Genomic DNA, 27,417 nt, shown 5'->3' on the forward strand with positions numbered 1-27,417 from the left:
AAAACAAGGGTATTATATACTCAGCACCTGATATGGGGCCCAGGACAAAGAGGACACAGATGATTTATTTGAAGGAATACCACTTCCCTTTGCATCCCATTCCAATTAATCATTAAGATTTATAAAGTTTATCCCCAGTATATTTCAAAATATGTCTATTTCTCTCAATCTTTTTGCCAACACCTTAGTTCAAGTTACAATCTTTCATTAGCTGAATTACTATAATAGCTTCTATTTTTGGTTTGTTTTTTTTTTTGTTTTTCTTTTTGAGATGGAGTCTTGCTCTGTCACCCAGGCTGGAGTGCAGTGGCACAATCTTGGCTCACTGCAACCTCTGCCTCCTGGGTTCCAGCAATTCTCATGCTTCAGCCTCCCAAGTAGCTGGGATTATAGGCACCTGCTGCCATGCCCAGCTAATTTTTGTATTTTTAGTAGATGGGGGTTTCTCCATTTTGGCTAGGCTGGTCTTGAACTTCTGACCTCAGGTGATCCACCCACCTCAGCCTCCCAAAGTGTTGGGATTACAGGCATGAGCCACCGTGTCCAGCCCTACAACAGCTTCTTAGACTGCTATAACTGCAGGCACTCTTATCAGCTAAGCCAGACTTCCATGGCAGAGTGATTTTTATAGATAACAATTTAGTTTTGTCATTTCCCACATTGAAACATTCCAGGTCTCATGTTCTTTCAAAAGGATAAAGAATAAATTACTTACTATAGCACCCAAGGCTCTCTCTCCCTGATTTCTCATGGCCACCTCTCCACCTTCACCTTGTGCCAGTCTGCACTCTCCCACCACCTCCAGTCACCTTCCCTATTCCTCCTCAGGCCTTTGGGCATGCATTCTCTGCCTGAAGACTCCTCCAGCTCCATTCACTTGGGTAACAGTTACCCTTTATGTCTCAGCTTAAATATTAACTCTCTACAAGGCTTCCCCTGAGTATCTTAGGCTAGATTAGGTCATGCCATTACAGCCTTTCACAGCACTACGTCCTTTACATTCATAGAACTCCTTTTAACTCTCAACTTAGGTTGATTACCGTGTTGGGTTGAGAGGTCCATGGTGGCAAAGATCCTGATTTTCTTGTTCCCTTCTCTATTCCCAGCTCCAGATGTCTGAAGCACAACAGAATACTCAAGAAATATTTATAGGGCCAATAAATAACAACAGTTTGGGAGTAAAATAAAATATTCTGTGTCAGTTTAATAAACACTTGTTTTATCCCTTATGCTTATTATATCACTTAATTTCCCAATGACAGTGAATCAGCTTACTCAAGATCTATCTCACCACAATGAAAACCCTGAAACTACCTTCCCTCACTCCCCACATACAAAACAGTGACATAGCTCATATTCTTTTCTAAGTCAGGTTTGCAAGTTTGATGCTGCACTCTGAATGCTAGAGAAGTGAGAATGCAGAGGTGATGAGTTTATGGCACATAAAGCATACTCTCACATAAGGCACAATCAATCATTATGGGATGCTTTTGAACAAAGGTCTAAAATACATGTTACATTATTATTATGATGATGTATATTATTATGTATACCTGGACTAATGACTATCAAATAGATTGTGTTTTAATAATTTTATTCAACATGCAGATAAACAGGGGAAACAGCTAATAATTCATTTTTCAATTCATTGTTTTCTGAAAGAAAGCATTGCTTTGGGCTGGGCACAGTGGCTTACACATAAAATCCCAGACCTTTGGGAAGCTGAGGTGGGTGGATCACCTGAGGTCTGGAGTTCCAGACCAGCCTGGCCAACAAGGTGAAACCCCATCTCTACTAAAAACACAAAAATTAGCTGGGCGTGGTGGCGGACACCTGTAATCCCAGCTTCTCAGGAGGCTGAGGCAGGAGACTCACTTGAACCCACGAGGCAGAGGTTGCAGTGAGCCGAGATCGCACCATTGCACTCCAACCTGCACGACAAGAGCAAAACTCTGTCTCAAAAAAAAAAAAAAAGGCATTTTTGCTTCTTTTTTTTCAAATGGTCTACATTCCTCTGTTAATTTACAACTAAATCAGACTATAATATTTAAAGGAGTTAACAAACGATAGGAGAAGACAGAAAATTATACCAACACTTTAATTATTAGCAGTATATTGTGGATTATATCTTGTGGCTCTGATGTCTGTGTTGTAAATAACAGGCACATTTGCATAATCAAAAATGATTTGGGCCAAATTCAGGTAACATGAGTCTTCACAGGCCAATTCTAGGTCACTGTGCGAAGGATGATTTATACATTGTCTTAGCTCAAAATGTTAGAATAATACTGATATTGAGTGTTACAACCTCTCCAGAAGCTGGTTTTAATTAATAAACACTATTATTATTAATTCAATCAGACAAATGTTAAAAAATACTTCAGGTCTATAATTTACAAAGAAAAAAGAAAAAAAAAAGTAACAAGGAATACTGGAGCCAGTTAATTTCAAACCCAGAAATATGTAAGTAACAACAAATCCCCACACTGTGTCCAAGTGTTCTCATTGTTAAATTCCCTCCTATGAGTGAGAACATATGGTGTTTGGTTTTGTGTCCTTGTGATAGTTTGCTCAGAAAGATGGTTTCATCCATGTCCCTACAAAGGACATGAACTCATCCTTTTATGTAGCTGCATAGTATTCCATGGTGTGTATTTGCCACATTTTCTTAATCCAGTCTATCACTGATGGACATTTGGGTTGCTTCCAAGTCTTTGCTATTGTGAATAGTGCCGCAATAAACATACGTGTGCATGTGTCTTTATAGTAGCATGATTTATAATCCTTTGGGTATATACCCAGTAATGGGATCGCTGGGTCAAATGGTATTTCTAGTTCTAGTTCCCTGAGGAATCACCACATTGTCTTCCACAATGGTTGAACTAGTTTACACTGCCACCAACAGTGTATGTAAAAGCTTTCCTATTTCTCCATATGCTCTCCAGCACCTGTTGTTTCCTGACTTTTTAATGATCTCCTTTCTAACTGGTGTGAGATGGTATCTCACTGTGGTTTTGATTTGCATTTCTCTGATGACCAGTGATGATGAGCATTTTTTCATGTGTCTGTTGGCTGCATAAATGTCTTGAACTTTCATCCTGCCTTTTTCATTTAATACCATAACACAGTCATTTTATTTTAAAATACTTTGTAAATTCTGGCAGAAACTCTACAAGCCAAAATTTACAAAATATTTTTAAAGTACAATGCCTGTGTTATGGTATTAAATGAAAAAGGCAGGATAAAAGTTCAACTGTTTGAAAATATGCACTGAATATGAAGGAGTATAATAAATAGAGGCTTTTAGTGATAAGGTTGTGAATGATTCTAATTTACTTTGAAATGTCCGTATTTTTCAAATTTTCTATGAGGTACATCCATTACTTTATAATCAGAGAAATACATTATCTTCAAAAACAAGATTACTTAATCTTTTTCACTATCTTTTTAGATGGGTTTGTGAAGTGACTAAAACACCAATCCACACTGATCAGTCATTTCCTGAAGAGCTAAAAGAATATGGGTGTCACTTTGATGTATTTGTGCTTTTAATTTTTAATACTATGACATGAGATGTTGGCAGGGCTTTGTGTTCATAGATTCTTAAATATATGTTCAGTTATTTATCTGCAGATAATTGCAATTGCAGCCATGTGCTGTAGTGAGAAGAATATGGATTTTGGAGTCAAACAGACTGAGTATGAATTTTGTCTCAGACACCTGTAAATAACTGAACCTCTTTACACCTCCATAGGCTTCTGGAAAAAAATTTAATGAATGGTAGCTATCATTAGTTCTAAGTGTCTGCTGTGGGTGAGAGACATGCTAGATGTTATAGAAAATAGAATAGTAAATGAATAACATGGGATAGAAGACATATAGAATGGTGGTATATTAAGGAGACTTAGAGATTGCCATGTTTCTTCTCTTCAGATTTAGCTATCAAGAAAATAACTAAGTCAGTTGCTGGGTATGGTGGCTCACACCTGTAATCCCAGCACTTTTGGAGGCCAAGGCGGGTAGATCACCTGAGGTCAGGAGTTCAAGACCAGCCTGGCTAACATGGTAAAACCCCATCTCTATTGAAAATACAAAAATTAGCTGGGCATGGTGGCAGGCACCTGTAATCCCAGCTACTCGGGAGGCTGAGGCAGGAGAATCGCTTGAACCCAGGAGGTGGAGATTCCAGTGAGCTGAGATCATGCCACTGCACTCCAGCCTGGGCAACAGAGCAAGACTCCATCTTGGAAAATAAAAAAGAAAGAAAATAACAGTCATCTAATGTAAATAAATGTGGTATCATTAAGACAAAGGAAAGATTGCTCTATTAATCTGGGATGAAAGCCACAACTACCACCACAAAACCTAATATGAGAAACTAAAAGCCAAGAACTCTACCAGTCACAGTCTTATTGTTTGAATGTGTCCCCCAAAAGTTCATGTGTTGGAAATTTAATTCCCAATGCAACAGTGTTGGGAGGTCAGGCCTAATAACAGGTGATTGGGTCATTCGGGCAGAGTCCTCATAAATGGATTAATATTATCATGACAGTGGTTAGTTATTTAGAGAGAAGGTGGTTATAAAGCAAGTCTGGCCTATAGTATCTCTCTCTGTATTGTGTACTTGATCCTGCTTCTGCCCTGCCCTTTCACCAAGGGATGGCCTTTGTCAGATGCTGGTACCATGCTCTTGGACTTGCCAGCCTCCAGAACCATGAGCCTAAGAAACTTCTTTTCTTTATAAATTACCCAGTCTGTAGTATCCTGTTACAGTAACCAAAAATGAATATCTATTTATTTTATTTATTTCTGTTATATAGTAACAGAAAGAGAATACCTATTTATTTTATTTTTACTGTGCCTTAAAACTAAATAAATATAGTTAGCATTTAAGTGATCACTTCATGGAAAGTCTACAAGATCCCAGAGAGGCTTTACTCTCATTCACCCCAACAGACATAATCAGGAATTCCTTGACCAGAGGGCCGCAGTTCACTCCAGTAGATATGTGAACCTTTCTCCACAGTTCATACCTCTAAGGGTTGACAGTGCCAGCTTTATGAATAACCCTAGGCTCAAAAGTGACCAAAGGGCAACTATTTGAAGAAAAAGTAGGTGGAGTTTAGGTGTACAAGTTGTAGTATTGTAGGCATGCACTCAGGGCTCTCATGAGGTAAGAAGGAGCTGGGGCTAGAAAACGAAATGCATAAACTGGGGGCTGGGGACTGCTGTCGCTGTGCTGGAATTTCCTGGTGTAGAAATTTGAGAATTCTAAAAAGTTTATATTCTAACTTGGTTTTCCAGCGTTAGCTTCCTCTGAGAAACCAAAATGTAATGTGTTCCTTTGGAATGGAAGTAGGGATAGTGGTGGGGGAGAGGGAAGGGTATTTTGTGAATAAAGGTTGCCTGGCTCAGAATGGGTGGTATGGGAGAAACCGCTCTCAGAAGATATGCAAGATTTTGTTCTACTGTTGCCACAGTTTCTGAAAATGTCTGGGTGGGCCTGGTGCTTACCATTTTATAAGCTCAATGAATATTAAGTAGTGACAAAGATTCTCTCCTTGACCAAACTTTAGTCAGGCTCCTCTAAGCTCTCTTCTCAACTGGGCTTTGACCTTGGGTTTCAGTGTCTGTCCTTCTCAGGCCTGTACTTCTCAGTTTTAGTAGGAATTCTGTTAACTTACCTTTTTTGTTAATTTATTCTATTGATACATAATGATTGTACATTTTCTGGGATATAGTTTAAAGAGAATCCCTCACCATTGATATCTGATCACTCTGGCCCACTTTCAGTAAGTTCAATTGATCAAGAATGCCCCCTTACTCTTGATGTTTCCTCCTAGTAATTTTCTGTCCACTGATCTCCACCCTGCTCCTTGGCTGTAAATCCCCATTTGTTCATATTGTATCTGAAATTGAGCTTATTTTTATAGTGAGGTCTCTTTTCCTCTACTGCAACAGTCCCTGAATAAAATCTGTTTCTACCAATTTAACTACTGCCCAGCTTTGATTTTCTGTGACAGTAGCTCTAACATCTTTATGATTTGGTCATTTAATTGTTAAGCTAATTTGAAGTGGCTTGATGCTTGTGCAAAGCTTACCACATTATTAGACCTTTCTAAATAATGACACAATTTATAAACTGCTCAGAAAAACCAATTCTTGAAAATATTTAAGATTACCATTGAATTCAATTTCAGCAAATAATTTAAATATATTTTTCTACCTCCCTCAAACCATTTTCTTTTGTCTAGAGCCCAAAGAGCTATTTGCTAAAATCAATATAAAATTTGGTTTCAGAATGTTAGAATGACAACATGTGTCTGGAGAGACTATTAGAAATAAATAAAAACAAATGCCTTATCACCACTTAAAGCTGCAATCAGCTCTTTGGTATATGAATCTAATGAGCAGTGGATCTTCTCAGAGCTCTGAGTTTAACTGAAACAAAGCATTGATTTCCTGGCCATGATAATAGCATTCTGAACTTCTCAGGCTGTCAACAAATGTCAGATAATTAGAATATGATTTTAAAATGGAAAATTCCCCAAGATCCTGTATAGGACTCATAGCTAGTTAGTGGCAGAGATTCCTATGTCTCCTGCCTTCACTAGAGCAGTACATCTTGTTAACTTTTAGTCTGGGCTGGAAGTTTAGATATAAACCTACAAATAATTCCAGAAATTGCACCCTATACACAAAGCAGTGGCGATGCTTAAATCAGAATATTTAGAATCCCATAAAGCCAATCTTAAGGGATATGAATCATCACATCTATGTCTCAGCAATCCTGTTGTTCCTCTGTGAGGAATCAATATATCATTCTTTCTTTTCTTGATTATATTTGGAAAATTGGACCTTATAAAACACAACCTGAATTAATCCCCTAAATTGTAAAGCATATCAATAATTTGGTTTTGACTTTTGAAAACAGAAATGCTATTTATCAGATAATTTTTATACAATGTTGATGTTTTAGCAGCTGGAATACAGGGTCAAATACCTGTTTAGAAAATGTGAGCACCTTGTGATATTTGCTTGTTTAAAGATTACTTACACCATACAGACATGGAGCCCCAAACAAATGGTACTCTCTACTTGGTTAGATTTAAGAACAAATCAAAGATCTTCTTTAACAGATTCAAGAACTTGGTGAATGAATTCAAAAACTTTAAATAAATTGTATCTTTAAATGAACAACAATATGAAGAAGTTGTGAGCTTTCTGAAACTAGGAAAAAAATTTCTTAGATTTGTAAATGGGGATATTTATGCCCAAAAAGAATGACAGGGCACTTTTAAAGTAATATCTTTATTGAGATATAATTCACATACTTTAAAATTTGCCCTTTTAAAGTGCATAATTCAGTGTTTTTTTAGTACAGTCACAGAGTTGTCCAATTGCCCTATGTAATTTTAAACATTTTCTTTCTTTCTGTTTTTTCTTTTTCTTTCTTTCTTTTTTTTTTTTTTTTGAGACAAGGTGTTGCTCTGCCACCCTGACTGGAGTGTAGTAGTGCAATCATGGCTCACTGCAGCCTTAACCTCCTGGGCTCAAGCGATCCTCCCACCTTAGCCTCCCAAGTAGCTGAGGCTACAGGCATGCACCACCACACCTGGCTAATTTTTGTATTTTTTGCAGAGATGAGGTTTCACCATGTTGTAGAGGCTGGCCTCCAACTCCTGTGCTCAAGCAATCTGCCCGCCTTAGCCTCCCAAGGTGCTGGGACTGCAGACATAAGTCATGGTGCCCAGCCTAGAACATTTTCATCACCCCCAAAAGAAATCTTATATCTATTACTAGCCCCTGGCAACCACTAATCTACCTTCTATTTGCATGGATTTCCCTATTCTAGAAATTTCGTGTAAATAAAATTGTATAATATGTGGCCTTTTTTGTCTGGCTTCTTTCACTTAGCATGTTTTCAAGTTTCATTAATGTTGTGCCATCTGTCAGTACTTTATTCCTTTTTCAGCTAATAGTATCCCATTTTTGAATATAACACAATTTATCCATTCACCCATCAATGGACATTTGGGTTGTTTCCAGTTTTTGGCTGTTATGCATAATGGTGCTATGAACCTTAGTGTACAAGTTTTTGTGTAGACATATGTTTTCAGTTCTCTTGGGTATATGCTAGGAGTAGAATGACTGGTCGTGTGGCAATTCTATTTTTAGCTGTTAGATGGACTGCCAGACTGTTTTCTAAAGTAGCTGCACCATTTTACAATCCCACCAGGCATGCTGAGGGTTCTGATTCTCTACATCCTTGCCAACACTTATACTGTCCATCTTTTTTATTATAGCCATTCTTGTGGGTATAAAGTGGTATCTCCCTGTACTTTTGATTTGCTGTTCACCAATGAATAATGATGCTGGACATCTTTTTATGTGCTCATTGGCCATTTGCATATCTTATTTGAATAAATATATATTCAAATTTGTGGTAGGCTGAATAATGCCCCTCACCTCAAGAAATTTATGTCCCAATGCCTGGAACCTGTGAATATGTTACTTTATATGGCACAAAAGACCTTTCAGATGTAATTCAGTTAAGGATCTTGAGATGAGGTGACTTTCTTGGATTATCCTGGGGTGTCCAATATAATCACAGGAGTCCTTATAAAGAAGAGTTAGTAGAGTCATAGTCAATGAAGAGATAGGATGATGGAAGTAAAGGTTGGATGGAGAAAAGGGTTATGAGCCAAGTGATTCAGATGGCCTTTTGAAGTTGGGAAAAGGAAAAGAAACAAATTATCCCATATAGTCTCTGGGGTTCCCCTGTCAACATTCCAAGTTTATCTCAGTGAGTCTGATTTTGGACTTCTGACGTCCAGAACTATAGGATAATAAATTCGCATTATTTTAAGTCACTAAGTTTGTAGTAATGTGTTACAGCAGCAATAGAAAATAATACGAAATGATTGATCATTTTTAAATTGGGTTATCTTCTTATTGTTGAGTTGTAGGAGTTTTATTACACATTCCGGATACAAGTCGTTTATCAGGTATATTATTTGCAAGTATTTTCTCTCATTATGTGGGTTATCTTTTAACTTCTTGATAGTGTCCTTTGAAAGCACAAAGTTTTTAATTGACGAACTCCAAGTTATCTATTTTTTCTTTGTTGCTCATGCTTTTTGTGTCATATAAAGAAACCACTTCCTAAACCAAGATCATAAAGATTTACTCCTACATTTTCTTCTAAGACTTTTATAGTTCTAGTTCTTACATGTAGGTCTATGATCCCATTTAATTAATATTTGTCTACAGTGTGAGATGGGAGCCAATTACATTCTTATGCAGGTATATATCCAGAAGTCTTGATAGAATTTGCTAGAGAAAAAAAAAAAAACAAAAATCCAACGAGTCATGTTTGCCACAAAGTTATTAATATTTCGGTCAACTCATAGGTGGATTTCCTTTATTGGAATATATGGCAGTTGACAGAAATAGGAAAACTCCAGCTGCGAAAGACTACTTGTGGGTGCCTGATGTTCTACCAGATGTGCAGCTGAAATTATTCTTCTTGTATAGAAATTTTCTTGTGTAACATAATACTAAATTGTTGGGGACTTGTCGATTGCCAGTCACCACAGAACCACTTGCTAGGTGATTTTCTTCTTGTCCAAGTACTCTATAAATACAATTAGGGCTGATATTATGGACAGAGAAAATCAAAAGAGAGGGTTGTTACCCTTCAATACTTTTCACTTTTGTTGGGAGAGATGGAAAAAATAATCCTTAAGAATGAGTCCATTGAGATTTGCATCATACATCTTTCTAAAGAGAGCGCTGGTATCATTTATACTAGGTAATAAAGTCTCCCTTCTCATGAAGGTCTTCCTGTTCAGAGCAACAGCTGGGCTTGTATCCTGCTTTGACCCCCAAAACAATGATGAAATAAATGTTTACTTGGATTTGGAAGCACTAGAAGTCTCTGCCTTTGAATAAAACATTTACCATGATCATAGTCATTTAGTGCAACAATCAGTTGGGGTACAGTGGAAATTGACAGGTTGGATGTTGTGACTTGTGGGGTTTTTTTATTTGCAATCACCCAAACTCATGACAGTTCAGTATGGAGAGGTACTCTAAGAATTTAGCAATCTCTTATGCTATTTCCACTTCCTAGAAATCTTTCATTTTCTTAAACAATTGGTAAGTGGGTCTTGGGAATAAGTGTCAGACTGTGATGCCTGGAAGTTACTCCCTTTCCTCTGTTTGGTGCTTCTCATTTGCACAGAAAACAAAAAACAAACAAAAAAACCAAGCTGAGCTTTATCTTTTCCATTTCTAAGCCTTCATCTCGTGATGATTACCAATCATTTTTCTTCCTTCTTTTCCTCCCCTCTCTGTGTTTCCTTTTCCTCCCCTCCCCTTCTGTCTTTCTCATCGTGTTCTTATTTTAAAATCATCACTGAGTTAGTGGATATACATTAATGAAAAAGCAAAAAAATGAATTGACAAAGGACAGCCAAAGGACAACGTTGTTGTTTATACACAAGAACTGCATTCTTGAAACATTCGTCCTTGACCTCTCAACTTTGTCAGTACAGTCAAACCTCAGTATAATCATTATTCTTGTTTGAAATAAACATGTATGTTGTCTTGGTTTTTATGAGGACAAAGACAACCTTACCTGTAAACAGACACAGAAGTAATAAATGAAGCAATGGATTTAAAGAAAAGAAAACTTCTTTTTTTTTATATCTTGTCTGGGAGTAGAAATGATTATGCTGAAGGCTAAGAGATTAAATTGTGTCACTTGTCAGGAAATTGGCAAGCAGCCATCTTTTCTGCCTGTTTCTACATGGTGCTTTTGTGCTGTGGATGCCTTTAATAAACGCACTCTTGTGTAAAATGTCATTGCTGCATTGCCAAGTGGAGGCTGTCATGTGATAGCTCTTCCCCATGATGACATATCAATATTGGTCCCTGGCAATTCTAGGACTTCAAACTACACAGAGGGCATTTTTATAATTCAAATACAAGTGAAGAAATAAAAATCATTCTTCATATCATGGATGTATATCTATTTTGCTCTGAAAGAAAACCTAATGTTCTTTTCAAATACTGCTTAAAGATAGGTAACGCTGGCCAGGCGCGGTGGCTCACGCCTGTAATCCTAGCACTTTGGGAGGCCGAGGCAGGTAGATTGCCTGAGGTCAGGAGTTCAAGACCAGCCTGGCCAACATGGTGAAACCCCGTCTCTACTAAAAATGCAAAAATTAGCTGGGCGTGGTAGCAGGCGCCTGTAATCCCAGCTACTCACGAGGCTGAGGCAGGAGAATCGCTTGAACCCAGGAGGCGGAGGTTGCAGTGAGCCAAGATCGCACCATTGCACTCCAGCCTGGGTGACAAGAGTGAGATTTCATCTCAAAAAAAAAAAAAAAAAAAAAAGATAGATAATGCTATCAAATTTTAATGACTACTCTAGAAGACAAAACACAAATGACGAGTAACATTTTTTAAAAGTTTCATCTTACTCTTAATCAAGTAAATGCAAAGCAAAGCAGGGAAATATACCATTGTTTGCCTTGGACATACGTGTATGCCAAAATTACATATGTGAAACCACATGCAACACTGACAACATATTGCAAAGTAGGACCTCTCCAACATTGTTGGTAAAAGTAAAATTTGGTAGAATATTTCTGGAAAGAAATTTGGTAACATGCATCAAAAGGTTTTAAAATGTTCATTCTATCAGGTTCAGAAATTCTATAGTAGAAATATATACTAAGGAAATAATGAGGTACAAGGTTAATAATGTTTTCCAAAAGATGTCCATATATTTAAAATGCTCATAAACTGAAAATAAATTCCAAACAATGTGAATGGCTAAATATGCTACTTTATAGCAATTAAATTATTTGCAAAGGCTTTTTTACTGATACAGGGAAAGGTCTCTGAACTAAGGTTAAGCGAAGTTAAACAAAAATTAAATATCATATAGAGTATGATCTAAACTAAGTTTAAAAGGCAAAAAATATCAGAAAGACATGTACAAAAATGTTACTAGTGATTAGCTTTGTGTAGTGCAAAAATGAAAGTGCTGTGTTTTGCTTAGTCTTTGTCTACTCTTCTTTATTTTATATTTATTACACAAAGGACAAATATCACGGCCATAAACACACATACCCGAAAAGTTCTATTTAAAAAGAAGTTCTATCAGAAAATGGTCACTGTTCAGAGAAATTCATCTAAACCGCCATGTGCTCTTCTTGCCTTGCCTCTTGACTTAGCCCTCATCTCACATTTTCCCTGCAGTTTCTGGCTGTCTCCCTCACTCCAGCTCAGATTCACATCTCCAGCCAGTAGAGGGAAAACAGGTCTCAGTCTCCATCTCTGCTGTCCCTCCACCCGAGGGACTAGATTCCTCCCTTTTACTGGCGTGGGTCCACCTCTTGCTTTTGATTGATTGTGCTTTGGCCTCTTGCCTTTAGGTATTAGAAAGTCCCAAGTCCAATCATGAGGCCTGATCAGTGTTTCTGAAGTTTTGGGTGTGACAGTATTACCGGAGACCTGCAACAGCAAGCTACTCTGCAGCCCAGTTTAAGGGAATTTTAGGGTCCAGAATTTATATGTCTATATTAGTTTCTTGTTGTTACATGACAATTTACCACAAATTAATCAGTTTAAGACAACATATACTTATTATCTCAGAATTTCAGCAGGTCAGGAATCTAGACGTGACTCAGAGGAGTCCTCTACTTTGGTATCACGAGGCTGCATGCACTGATGTGTCAGCTGGACTGTATTCATTTTGGGAACTTGGGGTTCTCTTATAAGCTCATGTAGCAATCTGCAGAAATCAATTCCTTGTGACTGTATGTCTGATGTCTTCTATCTTGCTAGCTGTAGCCTGGGGACTTACTTAGTACGTAAAGGATGCCTTCAGGTCCTTACTACACAGCCCCCCATAGGTTCTTTAACAACATGGAAGTTTGCTTCATCCATGCCAGTAAGAGAATCTCTCTGTTTTTAAAAGTCTCATTACATGGGTCAGTCTGAATCAGGATAATCTCCATTTTGATTAAATCAAAGTCAAATGATTAGGGGACTTAATTACATCTGTGAAGTCCCTTTTGCCATATAAAGTAGCATAATCATGGAATTGAATCTGATCATATTCACAGGTCCTGTCCACATTCGAAGGAAAGGGATGTAGGTTATTAGGGGGCATCTTAGAATTTTGCCTACCACACTGTCCATCCCTGGCTGCCACAGACTTGTGGCTGAGGTTCAGCATTCTGCTAAATAGCTGGCTCTATAGATAACAGAGTTGTATTGCAGGCCTTGCCTTTTACATAACTCCTTTACAAACACTATTTCATGTAATCTTACTATATCTTCTTGAGATATATGTTCCTATCTCCAATGTACCAGTGAGGAAACTGAAGAACATAGAGCTTAAAAAGGGGCCCAAAGTCACATAGCTAGGAAGTAGTACCTGAAACCTTGGTCTTTGACTCCAAATATTGTGTTCTTTCTCCTATATCTCTTTTATGAGAAGTTGTTCTTTCAGGAGAAAGAACAACTAAGACTGGAGCTTGATTTGAAGTCTGGTCTACTTAGGGAGGAAGTCACTTCTCACTTTATCTGTGCCTTTAGTCTGCACTGTCACTTTATATTGGCTATGATTTCGCACACACAGGAAGGTTTTTCATAATGATTCCAGGGTTCCTAGAATTGTTTCCTAGAAAATTACCACAAACCGGCTGGGTACGGTGGCTCACACCTGTAATCCCAGCACTTTGGGAGGCTGAGGTGGGCGGATCACAAGGTCAGGAGTTCGAGACAAGCCTGGCCAACATGGTGAAACCCTGATTCTACTAAAAATACAAAAATTAGCTGGGTGTGGTGGCGGGCACCTGCAGTCCCAGCTACTCAAGAGGCTGAGGCAGAAGAATCGCTTGAACCCAGAAGGCGGAGGTGGCAGTGAGCCGAGATTGCGCCACTGCACTCCAGCCTGGGCGACAGAGTGAGTCTCCGTCAAAAAAAAAAAAAAAAAGAAAGAAAGAAAGAAAGAAAATTACCACACACTTACACACTTACCAACTTGAAACTATTTCTATTTATTAGCTCACTATTGGTGTATGTCATAAGTCTAGCACAGCGAGGCCAGAATCTCTGCTTAAGTTCTCACAAGGCTGTATCAAGATGTCAGCTGAGCTGCATTCTCATCTCAAGGTTCAGGGTCTTCTTCCGAGCTCATGTGGTTGTGTCAGAATTCAGTTCCTTGAGTTTGTGGGACTGAGGTCCCTGCTTCATTGTTGGCTGTCAGCCTGGGGGCCTCTGTCTGCTCCTAGAGACCATTCTCATTCTTTCTCACATGGCCTCCTTCATTTTCAATCCAGCAACAACGTGTCAAGTACATCACACATCTTTAACTTCTGCCACCAGCCTGAGAAAAGTCTCCACTTTTAAGGGCTCATGTAATTAGACCAGGTTCACATGTATATTCTCCCTATTTTAAGGTAAATTATACCATATAAAAATCATAGGAGTGACATCTCATCATAGTCACAGGTTCTATGGATTATGGTATAGAATCTTGGGGAGTGGCATTTTTATTTTTATTTTTATTTATTTTGAGATGGGGTCTCGCTCTGTTGCCCAGGCTGGAGTGCAGTGGTACGATCTCAGCTTACTGCAACCTCTGCCTCCCTGGTTCAAGCCATTCTCCTGCCTCAGCCTCCTGAGTAGCTGGGATTACAGGCGCCCACCACAACACCCCGCTAATTTTTGTATTTTTAGTAGAGATGGGGTTTTACCATGTTGGCCAGGCTGGTTTTGAACTCTTGATCTCAAGTTATCCACCTGCCTCAGCCTCCCAAAGTGCTGGGATTACAGGCATGAGCCATCGCGCCTATTCGTGAGTGGCATTTAGAATGATGCTTACCACAGTGGGTCTTTTTTTTTTTATTTTTTATTTTTTATTTTTATTATACTTTAAGTTTTAGGGTACATGTGCACATTGTGCAGGTTAGTTACATATGTATACATGTGCCATGCTGGTAACAGTGGGTCTTTTAAGCGTCGTTGTTGTTTTTCTGCATTATAGCTTAGAAGATAAAAACATGGACACTGGAGTCAAACTGCTTACATTCAAATTCTGGCTCCAATATTTACTAGCAGTACAAACTTAGGGAAGTTGCTTAACCTACCAGTTCCTCAATTTTCTTATCTGAAAAATGGATAATAAATAATAGTGTGAATTTTATTGAGTCATTTAACACTTTAAATGAGCTAATGTGCCAGAAAATGACTTGGCACATTGTAAGCACTGTGTTGGTCTTTATTATTAGGATTATTATTATTGATCTGATTATTACATAACCACTAATTTAGAGTTCAGATTTACTACTCTCCTTGGAGCAAACCCATCACCTTATTTCTGTGGACCTTAGTTTCTCTGTAAATGTTAGTGTTATTTAACTGTCAAAAATATAATTTATGTCTTAGTCTGTTGGGCTATTATAAAATAAAATATCATAAACTAAATGGCCTATAAACCAAGGCACTGGCAGATTTGATGTCTAGTGATGGCCCTCTTCCTGGTTCATAGATAATGCCTTTAGATATGTCCTCACATAAAGGAAGGGGCAAGGAAGCTTTTATGAGGGCACTAATATAAGCCAGGGCTTCTTTTACAGAGACATGCAGGAGTACTCCACCTTCAAAACCTAATCATCTCTCAAAGGCCCCACCTCCTGATATCATTACATTGGGGATTAGCTTTCAACAGATGAATTTTGGGAGGATACAAATATTAAGGCCATAGCAATTTATAATGTAAAGGTACATTTTAAAGAAATTTAAGTGTCTCTAACTCAAAGGAAACACCAAGGATTTGTTTACATAAAAGAAAACTGTGTTTAATTTATAGGGGTTTTTTTTAAGCAAAGGAAACATAGCAGATTCAGTGGCTTACATTATAAACTTGAGAATAGAAGTACAGAACCGTTTTTTGCACCATACCTATTTTTTAAAAATGGTCTTTAATTCCATGTTATGACCAAGAGAAAAAAAAGTATGTGAAAAATAGGGACAGGAAACTTAGGGAAGAACACACAGGGTGAAAGGAGACTGCAGAAGGAAATGTAGAAGGTATAATAGGAAAGGGGATAGAGAAGAAAAGGAACAGAGGCAAGAGGAGAGGAAAAACTGCTTAGAGACAGAGAGGGAAGGTAAGGAGAAAGGGGAAAACGGTGGTAAAATTTATTGAGCACCAATTATGTGCCTGCCATAGCTAAGGAGTTCGGTTATCTCACCTCAGAACATCTCAGTGAAGTAGGTATTATTGTCACCACTTTACAAATGAGAAAATAGCTATTAAGTGAGTTTAACTTGTGTCCAAGGTCAACTGTGTTACATACAGAAGTTAGAACCCACATCTTTCCAGAGCTAATTACAATGTCCTTCTCCCATGTCCTTAAGGACTAATGGTGAGATAAAACATACTCCTCATGGCTTGTTGGTCCAACCTCAGTGTTCCTGTCACACTGAGAAAAGACTTAGTCTGACTTAGTTGAGGCGATGGTGTTACTGTCTCTTAGCACTACCTAATAATCTTAATTATTTGAGTCAGGACATTTGGATTTTAGTTAAATAGGATCCCCAAATGATTTATGCCTCAGGATAAGTCACTCCTCTGAGCTGCAGAATCCCACTCTATAAAATGTATGTCTTGGACTAGACCACCTGCCAAATACTGAAAATTATTAGCTGTCTTCACATAGGCAAAGGCTGTAATGTGGATTGGGGAGAAGGTGAATTTTGCTGCTCTAGTTAGAAGCACTGTACAAAGTTTTGCAGGTTGTTTATTGTACAACCTTAGTAGGCAATATTCATATACACAGTCATAGGCCATGGCCCTGGCTCCAGGAAGCCAAAATAAAGACCAATGGGTAGAGGCCAAAAAAAGGGAAATTGTGGCTCAATAGAAAAACAGCAAACTCTGTTATGTTCAGAATTACCTCTTAACATTGTGAAAGCTTTACCTTTGGGGGTTTTTAGGCAGAGACCACATGATGTAGGGATTCTACCAACACATGAGATTTTAGAGAATACCTAAGCGACATTCAGAACTGGATTTTTAATGTGGTCAAAGCTAGCTGGGTGATCTTAAAATCATTAAGCCTTAATTTTCTGAATCCTTATTATTATGGCCACAATAATAGTACCTACTTATATGGCTACTGAAGTAGAAGATTGTGTGTGTGTGTGTGTGTGTCTACATCTGACATCTCTGTATCTTAGCACAATGTCCTGCACATGATAAAATGTCAAGAAATGTTAGCTTTCATTATCAATATTATCTTTTCAACTACGAATGAATGAAGTTTCTAGCACAGCAGAACTTTGCTTTACCTCTGTAGGCATGGGGCTGCCACCATGTTTGCAGGCAAAGAATGCTGGCATTCTCAGAGATATCACTTTTCATTCTTAATTGTAGAGCAAACATATATAAACATATAACATAAAATCTATTTCAAGCTTAGAGCCAGAATTTGGTTAAAGGGTGGAGGTTCTCCCCATCTTGTAGCTAAACAGAGTGGTGAAAAATTATGATTATGGCCCGCCATAATGATAATTTAGAGATAATTTCTAAATTATCCTCTAACAAATCTATTTCTAAACTTTAAAAATAGAGCTTCTTTAGGGTCCAGTGTTAGCAAACAGAATCCCCACGATGACTCATAGAATTACACAGCATCTTTTTCAAACCTTTCACTCTAGTGGGGATATGTCCTCATTCAGAAATTAATTTAGTTAATTCAGCTTAAAAATTCTGTTGTCAAAAAGCTTATTTCATGTGGGAGTATCTTTTTTGTTGAAAAAAGATGCACATTTACCTGAAAAAAAAAAAAATGTGATTCTCTTCATCAAGCTGTAAACATGCAGCTGTCAAAAGTAATCACTACATCAGAAAAACTGGATAAGGAATAAAAGTATCTTTGGTTGATTCATAAGAAAAACAGCAAAGTAGCTTATATGCTTAATGAAAAAACAGACTGAGGAAGTGCTATGAAGCTTACATTTCGCTCCTTAAGTCACAGTCCTCAATGTGGCTCCATGCACGCTAAAGTCATTCTTACCTACAGGACTTCACTTGCTTTATTTAATAAGACTCCGTCCTTGATTAAATTTGAATCAGGCTTCTCTGGGTCCTATTCTCAATTAGGCTTTGACCTTAGGCTTTTTATTTGGCCTCGTTAGCCCAGTTTTACCAAGAATCCTGCTGAGTCAGTTTATGAAAAATTTCTCTCCCTTGGTATCCGATCAAATTCCTTATCCCATACCCTTGATAATTTATCAGCTTGGCCTGCCTTCAACAAGAATCCTGCCAAGTCCCTTCAGCCAGAATTCCCCTTACCCTTGACGTTTTCTCTCAGTAATTTTCCATGCACTAACTGCCACCCCCCACTCCACAGCTCTTTGGCTATACATCTTCACTTATGCTTTCTGTATTCAGAGTTAAGACCAATAACTCTCCTCCACTGCAAAATCTCCATTGCAGTGAACCCTCTTGAATAAACTCTTCCTTACAGTCATTAACAAGTGTCATAAATATTTTGTATTTCACATATCCTTCCTATCTTACCTCCCACAATAATTTTCACTTCTCCCTCTTCTCCACTTTATTTATTTACTTACTCAAAAATTCATTTCTTCAGCAAGAGTTTATTGAGCCAGTTATACATATGTAACTGCTTGGCCTGAGGGGATTTACAACCTAGCAGGGGTGCTAAAAGTGACATTAGGGCATGTTATTCTTCCTGAAAAATCTCTCCTAATTTTTCCAACCTATAGTGCCTTTTAGCTAAGGTTTTGATCCCATAGCATTTTATGTTATTTACCCCATGAGGGTAACTCTTATTTCCCACAATTAAGTTCCTTAAAGAAAGTAGCCCAGCTCAAGCAGCTACTACTCTCTATCACTGAGAAGTACCTGGCTGCACTCCCTCCACCAACCTAAACTCACCATGTGCCTTTTTTTTTTTTTTTTTCTTTTTTGCTTTTTGAGACATGGACTCACTCTGTCACCCAGGCGGGAGTGCAGTGGCATGATCTCAGTTCACTGGGATCAAGTTCAAGCCATTCTCCTGCCTCAGCCTCCAGAGTAGCTGGGATTACAGGTACCCACCACCATGCCCAGCTACTTTTTGTATTTTTAATAGAGATGGGGTTTGGCTATGCTGGCCAGGCTGGTCTCAAACTCCTGACCTCAAGTGATCCATCTGCCTTGGCCTCTCAAAGTGCTGGGATTATAGGCGTGAGCCACTGAGCCAGGCCATCCTGTGCTCTTCATCCAGATGAAGCTGCTTTCCCTTTTTTTCTGAGGGACAACTTGTTCTTTTCTCTGTGTTCCCACTTAGATTTGTAGGGTTAGTGGACTCAGAGGAAACCTTCCCAGGGAATGGTTTTTTTAGACTCTTTTTCCCTCTCTAAACGCCTAGAGAAAGCCCTATAAATGGTTGCCGAATATGAGAATACATACAATATCTACAACGTTGCTTTACTTGCTAATGCTACTTATAGTGTATCCTTTTGATAATTATATTATTTGCCCGTTAGTTCATATTTATGTTCTTTCCAACTAGACTGAAGGCCTCATCCAAACAAAAGATTTATCTTCATCCCCTCCTCACAGTGCCTGGCCCAATGTTCAATGTGGTACCTACCAACGAACACAAATCAAACACTACTGAAATTCAATCAGTAGCAAAAGATCTGCAAAGTCATTTCAGGAAGCTTGCCTTAAAAATCTCTTTCAAGTACAGAACTTTTGTAGAATTATTATTCTTCAAAGGTACAAATGTGTCTCATTGATGCAGCAGATTTACTTTCAAAATCATTCTAATGTTTCAGATCTTTACCTGAGTCTGCCATCCTCTGCTGCAGCACCTCCTGGTATAATCTTCGTAATAAATATGCCAGGGTCATCTCCAATGTGGGGATTATCTGTCCCCCCAGCAATACTGAATCCCAGGCCAGAATTCCCCTATAGAAACAAAAAGCAGATATTAAATGATGTGTCTGTCACCTAAAACCTAGTTCCTCTTGCACTCTGCATTATCATGTTACTACTCAAATGGAAATCAGGTGACAACAGTCTTGTATGCTAAATCATAAAGTGCACAGTTAGCAGACAAAGGAAGGTCAGGAAAAACACTGAGGTTTATTCCTGCACTGTAAGAATGCAAGAGCATTATATTTTTCTTTTAAAAATTGCTTCCTTTATGCAGCAATTAAAATCACATTTATGAAGCAGGAAATAAAAACTTACAAATTGTGTAATATGAAAAAATATAAAGAATCATTAGAGTGTCAACTGTAAAAATTATACATTTATATGAAAGAGGAAGAAAAAAGTTACATGAAAGAATTTGATTTAATAGAAGAGTGAACTTGGGTGTTTCATTTTCTTATTTCTGGTATTGTTGTTCTAATATCACTTATCTGTCAAATAATGTGTTTCTAAGTAAAGAAAACTTCCACTTCAGAAGACAAGGCCCCCTTCTAGAATCATAATACATGAGAGATACTTTTGAACAATAAACAGGCTTTAATTTGCAATAGCAATAGAAAAGGCATGCAATAGTGCAGCAGCATGGAAATCTGAGTAGCTTCTATTCTAATAAAGCCTTTACACTTACTCCTGTAGATTATAGTAACTGATATCCTGTGGGTGTGTATATATATATACATATATACATATATATACATACATCGCTTTCTAAAGATATATATATAAGGATATATATATCTAAAGAGATATATATATCTAAAGCGATATATATATATCTAAAGAGATATATATATCTAAAGCGATATATATATATCTAAAGAGATATATATATCTAAAGCGATATATATATATCTAAAGAGATATATATATCTAAAGCGATATATATATATCTAAAGAGATATATATATCTAAAGCGATATATATATATCTAAAGAGATATATATATCTAAAGCGATATATATATATCTAAAGAGATATATATATCTAAAGCGATATATATATATCTAAAGAGATATATATATCTAAAGCGATATATATATATCTAAAGAGATATATATATCTAAAGCGATATATATATATCTAAAGAGATATATATATCTAAAGCGATATATATATATCTAAAGAGATATATATATCTAAAGAGATATATATATATCTAAAGAGATATATATATCTAAAGCGATATATATATATATAAAGGATATATATATCTAAAGAGATATATATATAAAGGATATATATATCTCTCTCTCTAAAGGATATATATATCTTTCTAAAATTTGTATGTAAGGCATAATTAAAAGTCCCCCCAAATCCACAAACCATATTGTTTATTTCTTATTTCTATAGTCTCCTTTACTCCCCATCTCCCATCTCCACAGCTACATATGTTTTCATGGTTGTGTTGTAATTTTTTCCAAATCACATTATATTTTATGCCCTTTCTGTATAGCTAGGCAGTCTTTATAAATATTCGTCTTAAATGGCTAGTCATGTTTCATCAAGGTCACATATTACTTATTTAACCAGTCCCTTGTCACTGGATATTAAATTTCTCTACATATTCTTACAAAAAATATAGCTTACTAAATTTATGATCATTTGATTAATTTCCACTCTTGGGTAAAAAGAGATGAGGACTATGAATTCAGTAGTTATTTCAGAAAAAGTAATTAGGGTGCTTGATTAGTCAGAAAGGTTCAATGTCAAGATAAGATCAGCTATAACTTGACACCTATACCACTGCAAATGTCAAGGTAATGTTTAGCAATTCTTATTGACTAAATTTATAAAACTGATTTCCAGAGGGTTGTTTTTACAATTGTATATTTATTACATATGTTGAAAGGGTGAAATGAATAATTCAGCTATGGCAACTAAAATCTCATGTGTTTATACTTCTGATGTTTTCTCTAATTCTGTTTGCTCTTTGAAAAAGTCCAGTGTTCACTGAACAGAGTTATTACTTATTAGCACTCATATAATCATGAATTTATTTAATATTTATTAAACACCACCTCTGTACCTGGCACTAGACTAAGCCCTGGAGCTACAGGAGTAAGTATGTCAGTTTATAAGGCACATGAAGGGGAAATGCAGAGTGTAGGAGTGGGTAGGAGAACCAAACACAGTGACCTGGTGACATAGAGAAGAACATTTTGACATAGAGGGAAGAACTTGTGTAAAAGCCCTTAGGTGAGAAAGGGTATGCCACACCCAAGGAACAGACAATAAAGTTGGAACAAAGAAAGCAAGAAGAATTGGATAGATGTACCTTAATCATGAAATTGACAAGAGCAGAGTGTACGAGAAACCATTTTGGATTTTAAATACTTACTGACACCAAATGACTGTGTTAGTATTGGTTGAGCATTTCGTATGCAACTGACTCTAAACTAAGACTGCAGAGGTTAAGGCCAGATGGTTTCTGCCTTCATGGATATTCAAAGCATAGCAAAAAAAAGCAATAATACTCTGGCATCTAGTGATCAGTATATTTCACGTACTGTATAACCTCAACTGCATTGTCAAGTATGTAGCCATGGAGATAGTGTTTAGGGGACTTAATGAGGCAGTTCTCTAAGATCCAGAGGTTTGGGAAGAAAAAATGGGAGGATGAGTATTTTCAATGTAATTTGGGTCAAGCTCTAAGTACATCAACTAGAGTATATTGGTCTCACTGTAGTTAGCATCTCAGGGATAATAATGTCTTGATTAATGAGAGTAGGGAAGGAGGCAAGCAGAGATTGGGAGATACCCAAATGCTTTCTCCTGATACTGTCAACATGTTTGGAGAGGGTACTCAAAACTTTGTCCTGTGAGAAAGATATTCGTGATCTAACTCTTAACCTTGTCAACTTTATTTCCAGCTTCACACTTTACCCCCCAGGAACAATGAAGTGAACTGCAGGCTCTTTACTGCACAGACCTCACTATAATTCATCTATTGGTGTTTATTTATGCTGTTTTCTCTACCAGAAACTTCACATCGCCTTCTTGACTATTTCAATTCTTCGCATTTTTGAAGATGTGGCTCAGACGGTGTCTGCTCAAATTAATACTAAATTATCACCCAACCCTTCTCTAGATAGATCACATTTCTGTGTTTTTGCAGGTTTTTATGCTTACTTACATTATGCATTGTGTTATTTTGTAGTTGTCTGTTTCTGAGTCTGTCTTTCCTTTAAACTGGGCTTGTAGAAGGCAGGAACTGTGTAGTATTCATCTTTGTTTTTTTGGAGCCTTGTCTAGCACATAGTATTGACAATAAATACTTGATGAATGAAGTAACAGAAAAACAAGCCTACTGAGAATGTTTGTGCCCTAACAGGAAGACTCAAAAAGGCCACAATAGAAATCCACAATGTGTTAAGGAATACAATATGGAAGTAGAAGCCATTTTGCTCTGTGTCATTACAAGAATAAAAAAGTAGAAAGCTCAGGCATTCAAACTGTGGTGCAGCTAAAGGCTGACTAATAAGACACAACTGTTCAGATTGGAGATGCACTACTCTGTAAGGGATAGAGGATCCTTCACTCAGGAGGTATTTGGCTAGTCACTGGGCGTGAAGGACCCAGGCATTTATTGAAAGGTTAAACTGGATGATTTTAAAGGATTCTTTTGGGACTCTGGCTAGATATAGGAAGTCTGCTCTTGCCAACAGAGAAAAGGGGATGTTTTAGGGACATTTAGTGGGGGAAGTAGATCACTGTCAAATTCTTGGAACTTAGTCTGTGAATCAATATGTCTTTGAAATAATAGCTTTGATAACAACCTAGAAACATTTAACCACTGTTTTTCTTTTGAATTGACTACAATATGGAGAAAACTGTGGCTCTGGCATTTTCTAATATACATTCCCCTGTCCCCAGACCCACTCTGAGGAAAAGAATGAATATATTTAGGAAATTTACAGTGGAAACTAGGTAGGTAGAGACAGAATGTAACTTGCCCTGTGTTTCTGGTCCCAAAGCATCCCTGAAAGCTTTTGTGTTTCAATTAAAACTAGTCTACCAGCTGGGTCTGGCCAGTCATCATGGTTCTTTACAAGAGATTCATCTGAATTCAGCTAAGGAAATGATTTAAAGAGCTTTCACCTCCCTTTATTGTTCTCTTCCAGCCTTCCCTTTTAAGTCTTTGCTACCAGCCAGCAGCATTTAGCAGAGAGAGGGACAGATGCAAAAGTGTCATTGAAATTGCTGCCTGCTGCTCTCTATGGCTGAATCACTTCAATCCCCTGACAATTGTCCCAGAGCCTGCCAGCTGCAGGGACAGATCTCAGCTCCTCTCTTCTCTGAGCAGCAATCTCTCCATGTGAACAGGCAGACCCCTGGTTGACACTCTTAGATCCTGAAAATTGTGACTAATTAACCGAGTGTTGATCCCTGATGCAGTCAATGGAAACTTCAAGGTGCCATGCTGGTAAGGGCAGACCCTGTAAAGGATTCTGGGTGGGCTGCTGTGTCCTTGCAGTTGGGAAGATTCCATGACAGATGAATGTCACTGACATGGACCATTCTTTCTCTTAATTGTTCATATTTGCTGACTCTTCCCCACGAGCACAAACCCATTTTCTAGCCAAATGACACTTCTTGTTTCATGTACTGCACACCATCTCCTCTCAGAGAGAGAATCCACCAAAAGGAAAGACATTTCACAAATATAAATATAATGTCTCTGGGAAAGCCCCACTTTTATTAAAAGTTTATTTCCCAAATGAAAATTTCTCTCAAAATGGGGTTATATATAATAAAAAAGAGGAAAATAAGTAGTAATATTATAATCACATTCATTTATATATAATGTTGTACCGACAATGATTTTTTTTTGATTTTTAGAATTTTTCTACTTTAAAATACTGTTTGACCTGATCATTCGATTCTAGGATTTTATCCTAAAGAAATAATCAGAGAAACATGAAAAGATTTGTGTTCAAGGTTTGTTGCATTATTTTTCTAGTGTTAAAAAAACACAACTGAAAACTGACATCCATATCATGGAGAAATGGTTAAAATATTGTGGTACATTTATCTGAATGTGGGGATAGTTTGGAGTCATTAAAATTGTAGTGCTTTTCAATAATAAAGACATGGAATTAACCCAGGTGACCATCAATGGTGGACTGAAAGAAAATGTGGTACATATATACCATGGAATACTACACAGCCATAAAAAAAGAATAAAATCATATCCTTTGCAGCAATATGGATGCAGCTGGAGGCCATTAAACTAAGTAATGCAGAAACAGAAAACCAAACACTGCATATTCTCACTTATAAATGGGAGCTAAACATCGGGTACACATGAACATAAAGATGGGGACAATAGATACTGGGAAATATAAGAGGGAAGAAGGAAGGAAAGGGAAAAAGGTTAAAAAACTACCTATCTGGTACTATGCTCACTTGTTAGGTGATAGGTTCAATTGTATTCCAAACCTCAGCACCACATGATATAACTTTTTAATAAATGTGCACATGAACCCCCAGAATCTAAAAGTTATAAATTAAAAATAAAATTTTAGTGCTGTTAATAAAAACGGAAAATGTTGATTATATAAATATGAGAAAAAAGTGACATTTTAATTACAGTATGATTGCCACTGAAGACATTTAAAATGACTTAATTTTAACAAGAAAATTACTAACTTTAATTAATAATAGTAAAATTGCTTAAATAATTTAAACTACATAAGAAGGAGATTTTAAAAAATTATAAAGCCCCTAGTAAAATACTAAAAGCATTATTAAGGGAACTAACATTTATTGCATGCTTATTCTATGCTAAACACTAATCTATGTTTCTTACAATTTCCTATGTGGTAGATTGTATTATTCTCTTTTTATATATTAGAATGAAAAACAAACAACAAGCAAACAAACAAAAACTGAGGCTGAGAGGAGTGAAGTAACTTACTTAAAGACGTGAAGCAAGTAAATAGTGAATTCAGATTTAAAAGTAATTCTCAGACTTCAATTACTATTTTCTTTCCATTATATCACATTGTCTCTTCTGAATTCAAAAACTAATGCAATGGTAGGGAAGTAATACAAATTTTAGTTATAAGGAACCGCTTCATTGGATTTTTGGAAAAGATTTAAACTTCTATCAGTATCATGAAAATATTTCAAAACATTTCTAATAAAGTGATACGGTTTAGTGGAAAAACATAGATCTGGGTCGTTTTAACCTGGGTTTGCACACTGGCTCTGCCATTGACATCTGCATGGTATTGGATACATTTTGAAACTAGACTTTGAGTCTAGTTTCATCATCTGTCAAATGGAGATAATGAGATGAATTCAAATGACACAGGCACCAGCAAGTGCTAAGCACAGCACATGGGTGATGATCAAGCAATGTTAGTTCAATTCCTTTGGTTTGATGCATAGCACTGTTTAAAGGGTCCTTACGAGTTTGAGGACAGTAAGGGAGAACAGATGTCAAACAATGTATTCTTTAATTCATGCCTTATTTATTGATCCAACAAGTATGGATTAATGCATTTTAACCTACACTGATAATATATGTTACTTTTCTTTGTTAAAACAAAACTTAGCTAGAAGTACTAAATTTGGGGTAAAGATTAGGTTATAGTATTGAAACCTTAGATAAAAAACAGCTAGATAAAAAAAGACTCAAATAATGTTCTTTTAACATTTTAATACCCATGTTCTATTTGATAAATATTGAAATGGTATATTCCTCTCACTAACCCCAAGATTCCTATATGCTTCCCTTAACCCAGGAACACCTATCTGTTCCTTTTGCTACTTGCCAACCATCATCGATATTCAAGTTTACCTTCTGTATATTTGTTCCAGCAAAGCCATTTGTTTATTTTAATTTAATATAGTTTATACTACAAAACTATATGTTGTTTTCAAATATAACATACCTCAGCCCCTAATCTGTAAATTTCTCATATGCACCCTGATCGAAAATTACTAGGCTACCACTTGAACATTGGCCATGAAGATAATAGGACAGCGAACAATATAAGTAGGTAGAATAAAGATATCAAAAAAGATTAAAACAGGTAATAAGAAGTTAAAATAAAGAACCATTTAGGCTACATGCCAGAAGAAGAAATGTCCCTTGATAGAAAGGTCTGTTGGTTGGCAAATAATCTTCCAAATTGTCCTGGAAGTCATTTTACTTTGAAAAGTAAATCTGGAGTGGCACAGGGAATAAAAAGGTGTCTTTTCATACACATTACTTGTTAAAATTATTTAAAGTCTTTCTCACATCCACTTTCTGTCTCATGTTACGATATCTAAAGATGAACAGCCCCAGGTCTATTACTAGGATGTGAAGGTGAGAAAATAATGCAGACATTTCTAACTACCATTGCTAAATAGAGATTTTTTTCCTC

At 36.9% G+C, this 27,417-nt stretch overlaps 1 protein-coding gene across 53 annotated transcripts in view; it reads right to left on the minus strand.

Moving 5' to 3' along the window:
- The window catches only part of DLG2 (discs large MAGUK scaffold protein 2), a 2,173,362-nt gene that overhangs the window by 624,022 nt on the left and 1,521,923 nt on the right, over positions 1-27,417 (minus strand). For all 53 annotated transcript variants that reach the window (NR_165353.1, NM_001351274.2, XM_017017256.3 and 50 more), the window contains one exon: positions 19,890-20,014. Coding sequence is in view for 52 of the 53 variants with exons in the window: in NM_001351274.2 (NP_001338203.1) it covers positions 19,890-20,014 (125 nt within the window). In the remaining variant the exon portion in view is untranslated. The remainder of the gene's footprint in view (positions 1-19,889; positions 20,015-27,417) is intronic.

This window comes from Homo sapiens, chromosome 11 (assembly GCF_000001405.40).
Source record: "Homo sapiens chromosome 11, GRCh38.p14 Primary Assembly".
Lineage (NCBI taxonomy): Eukaryota > Metazoa > Chordata > Mammalia > Primates > Hominidae > Homo > Homo sapiens.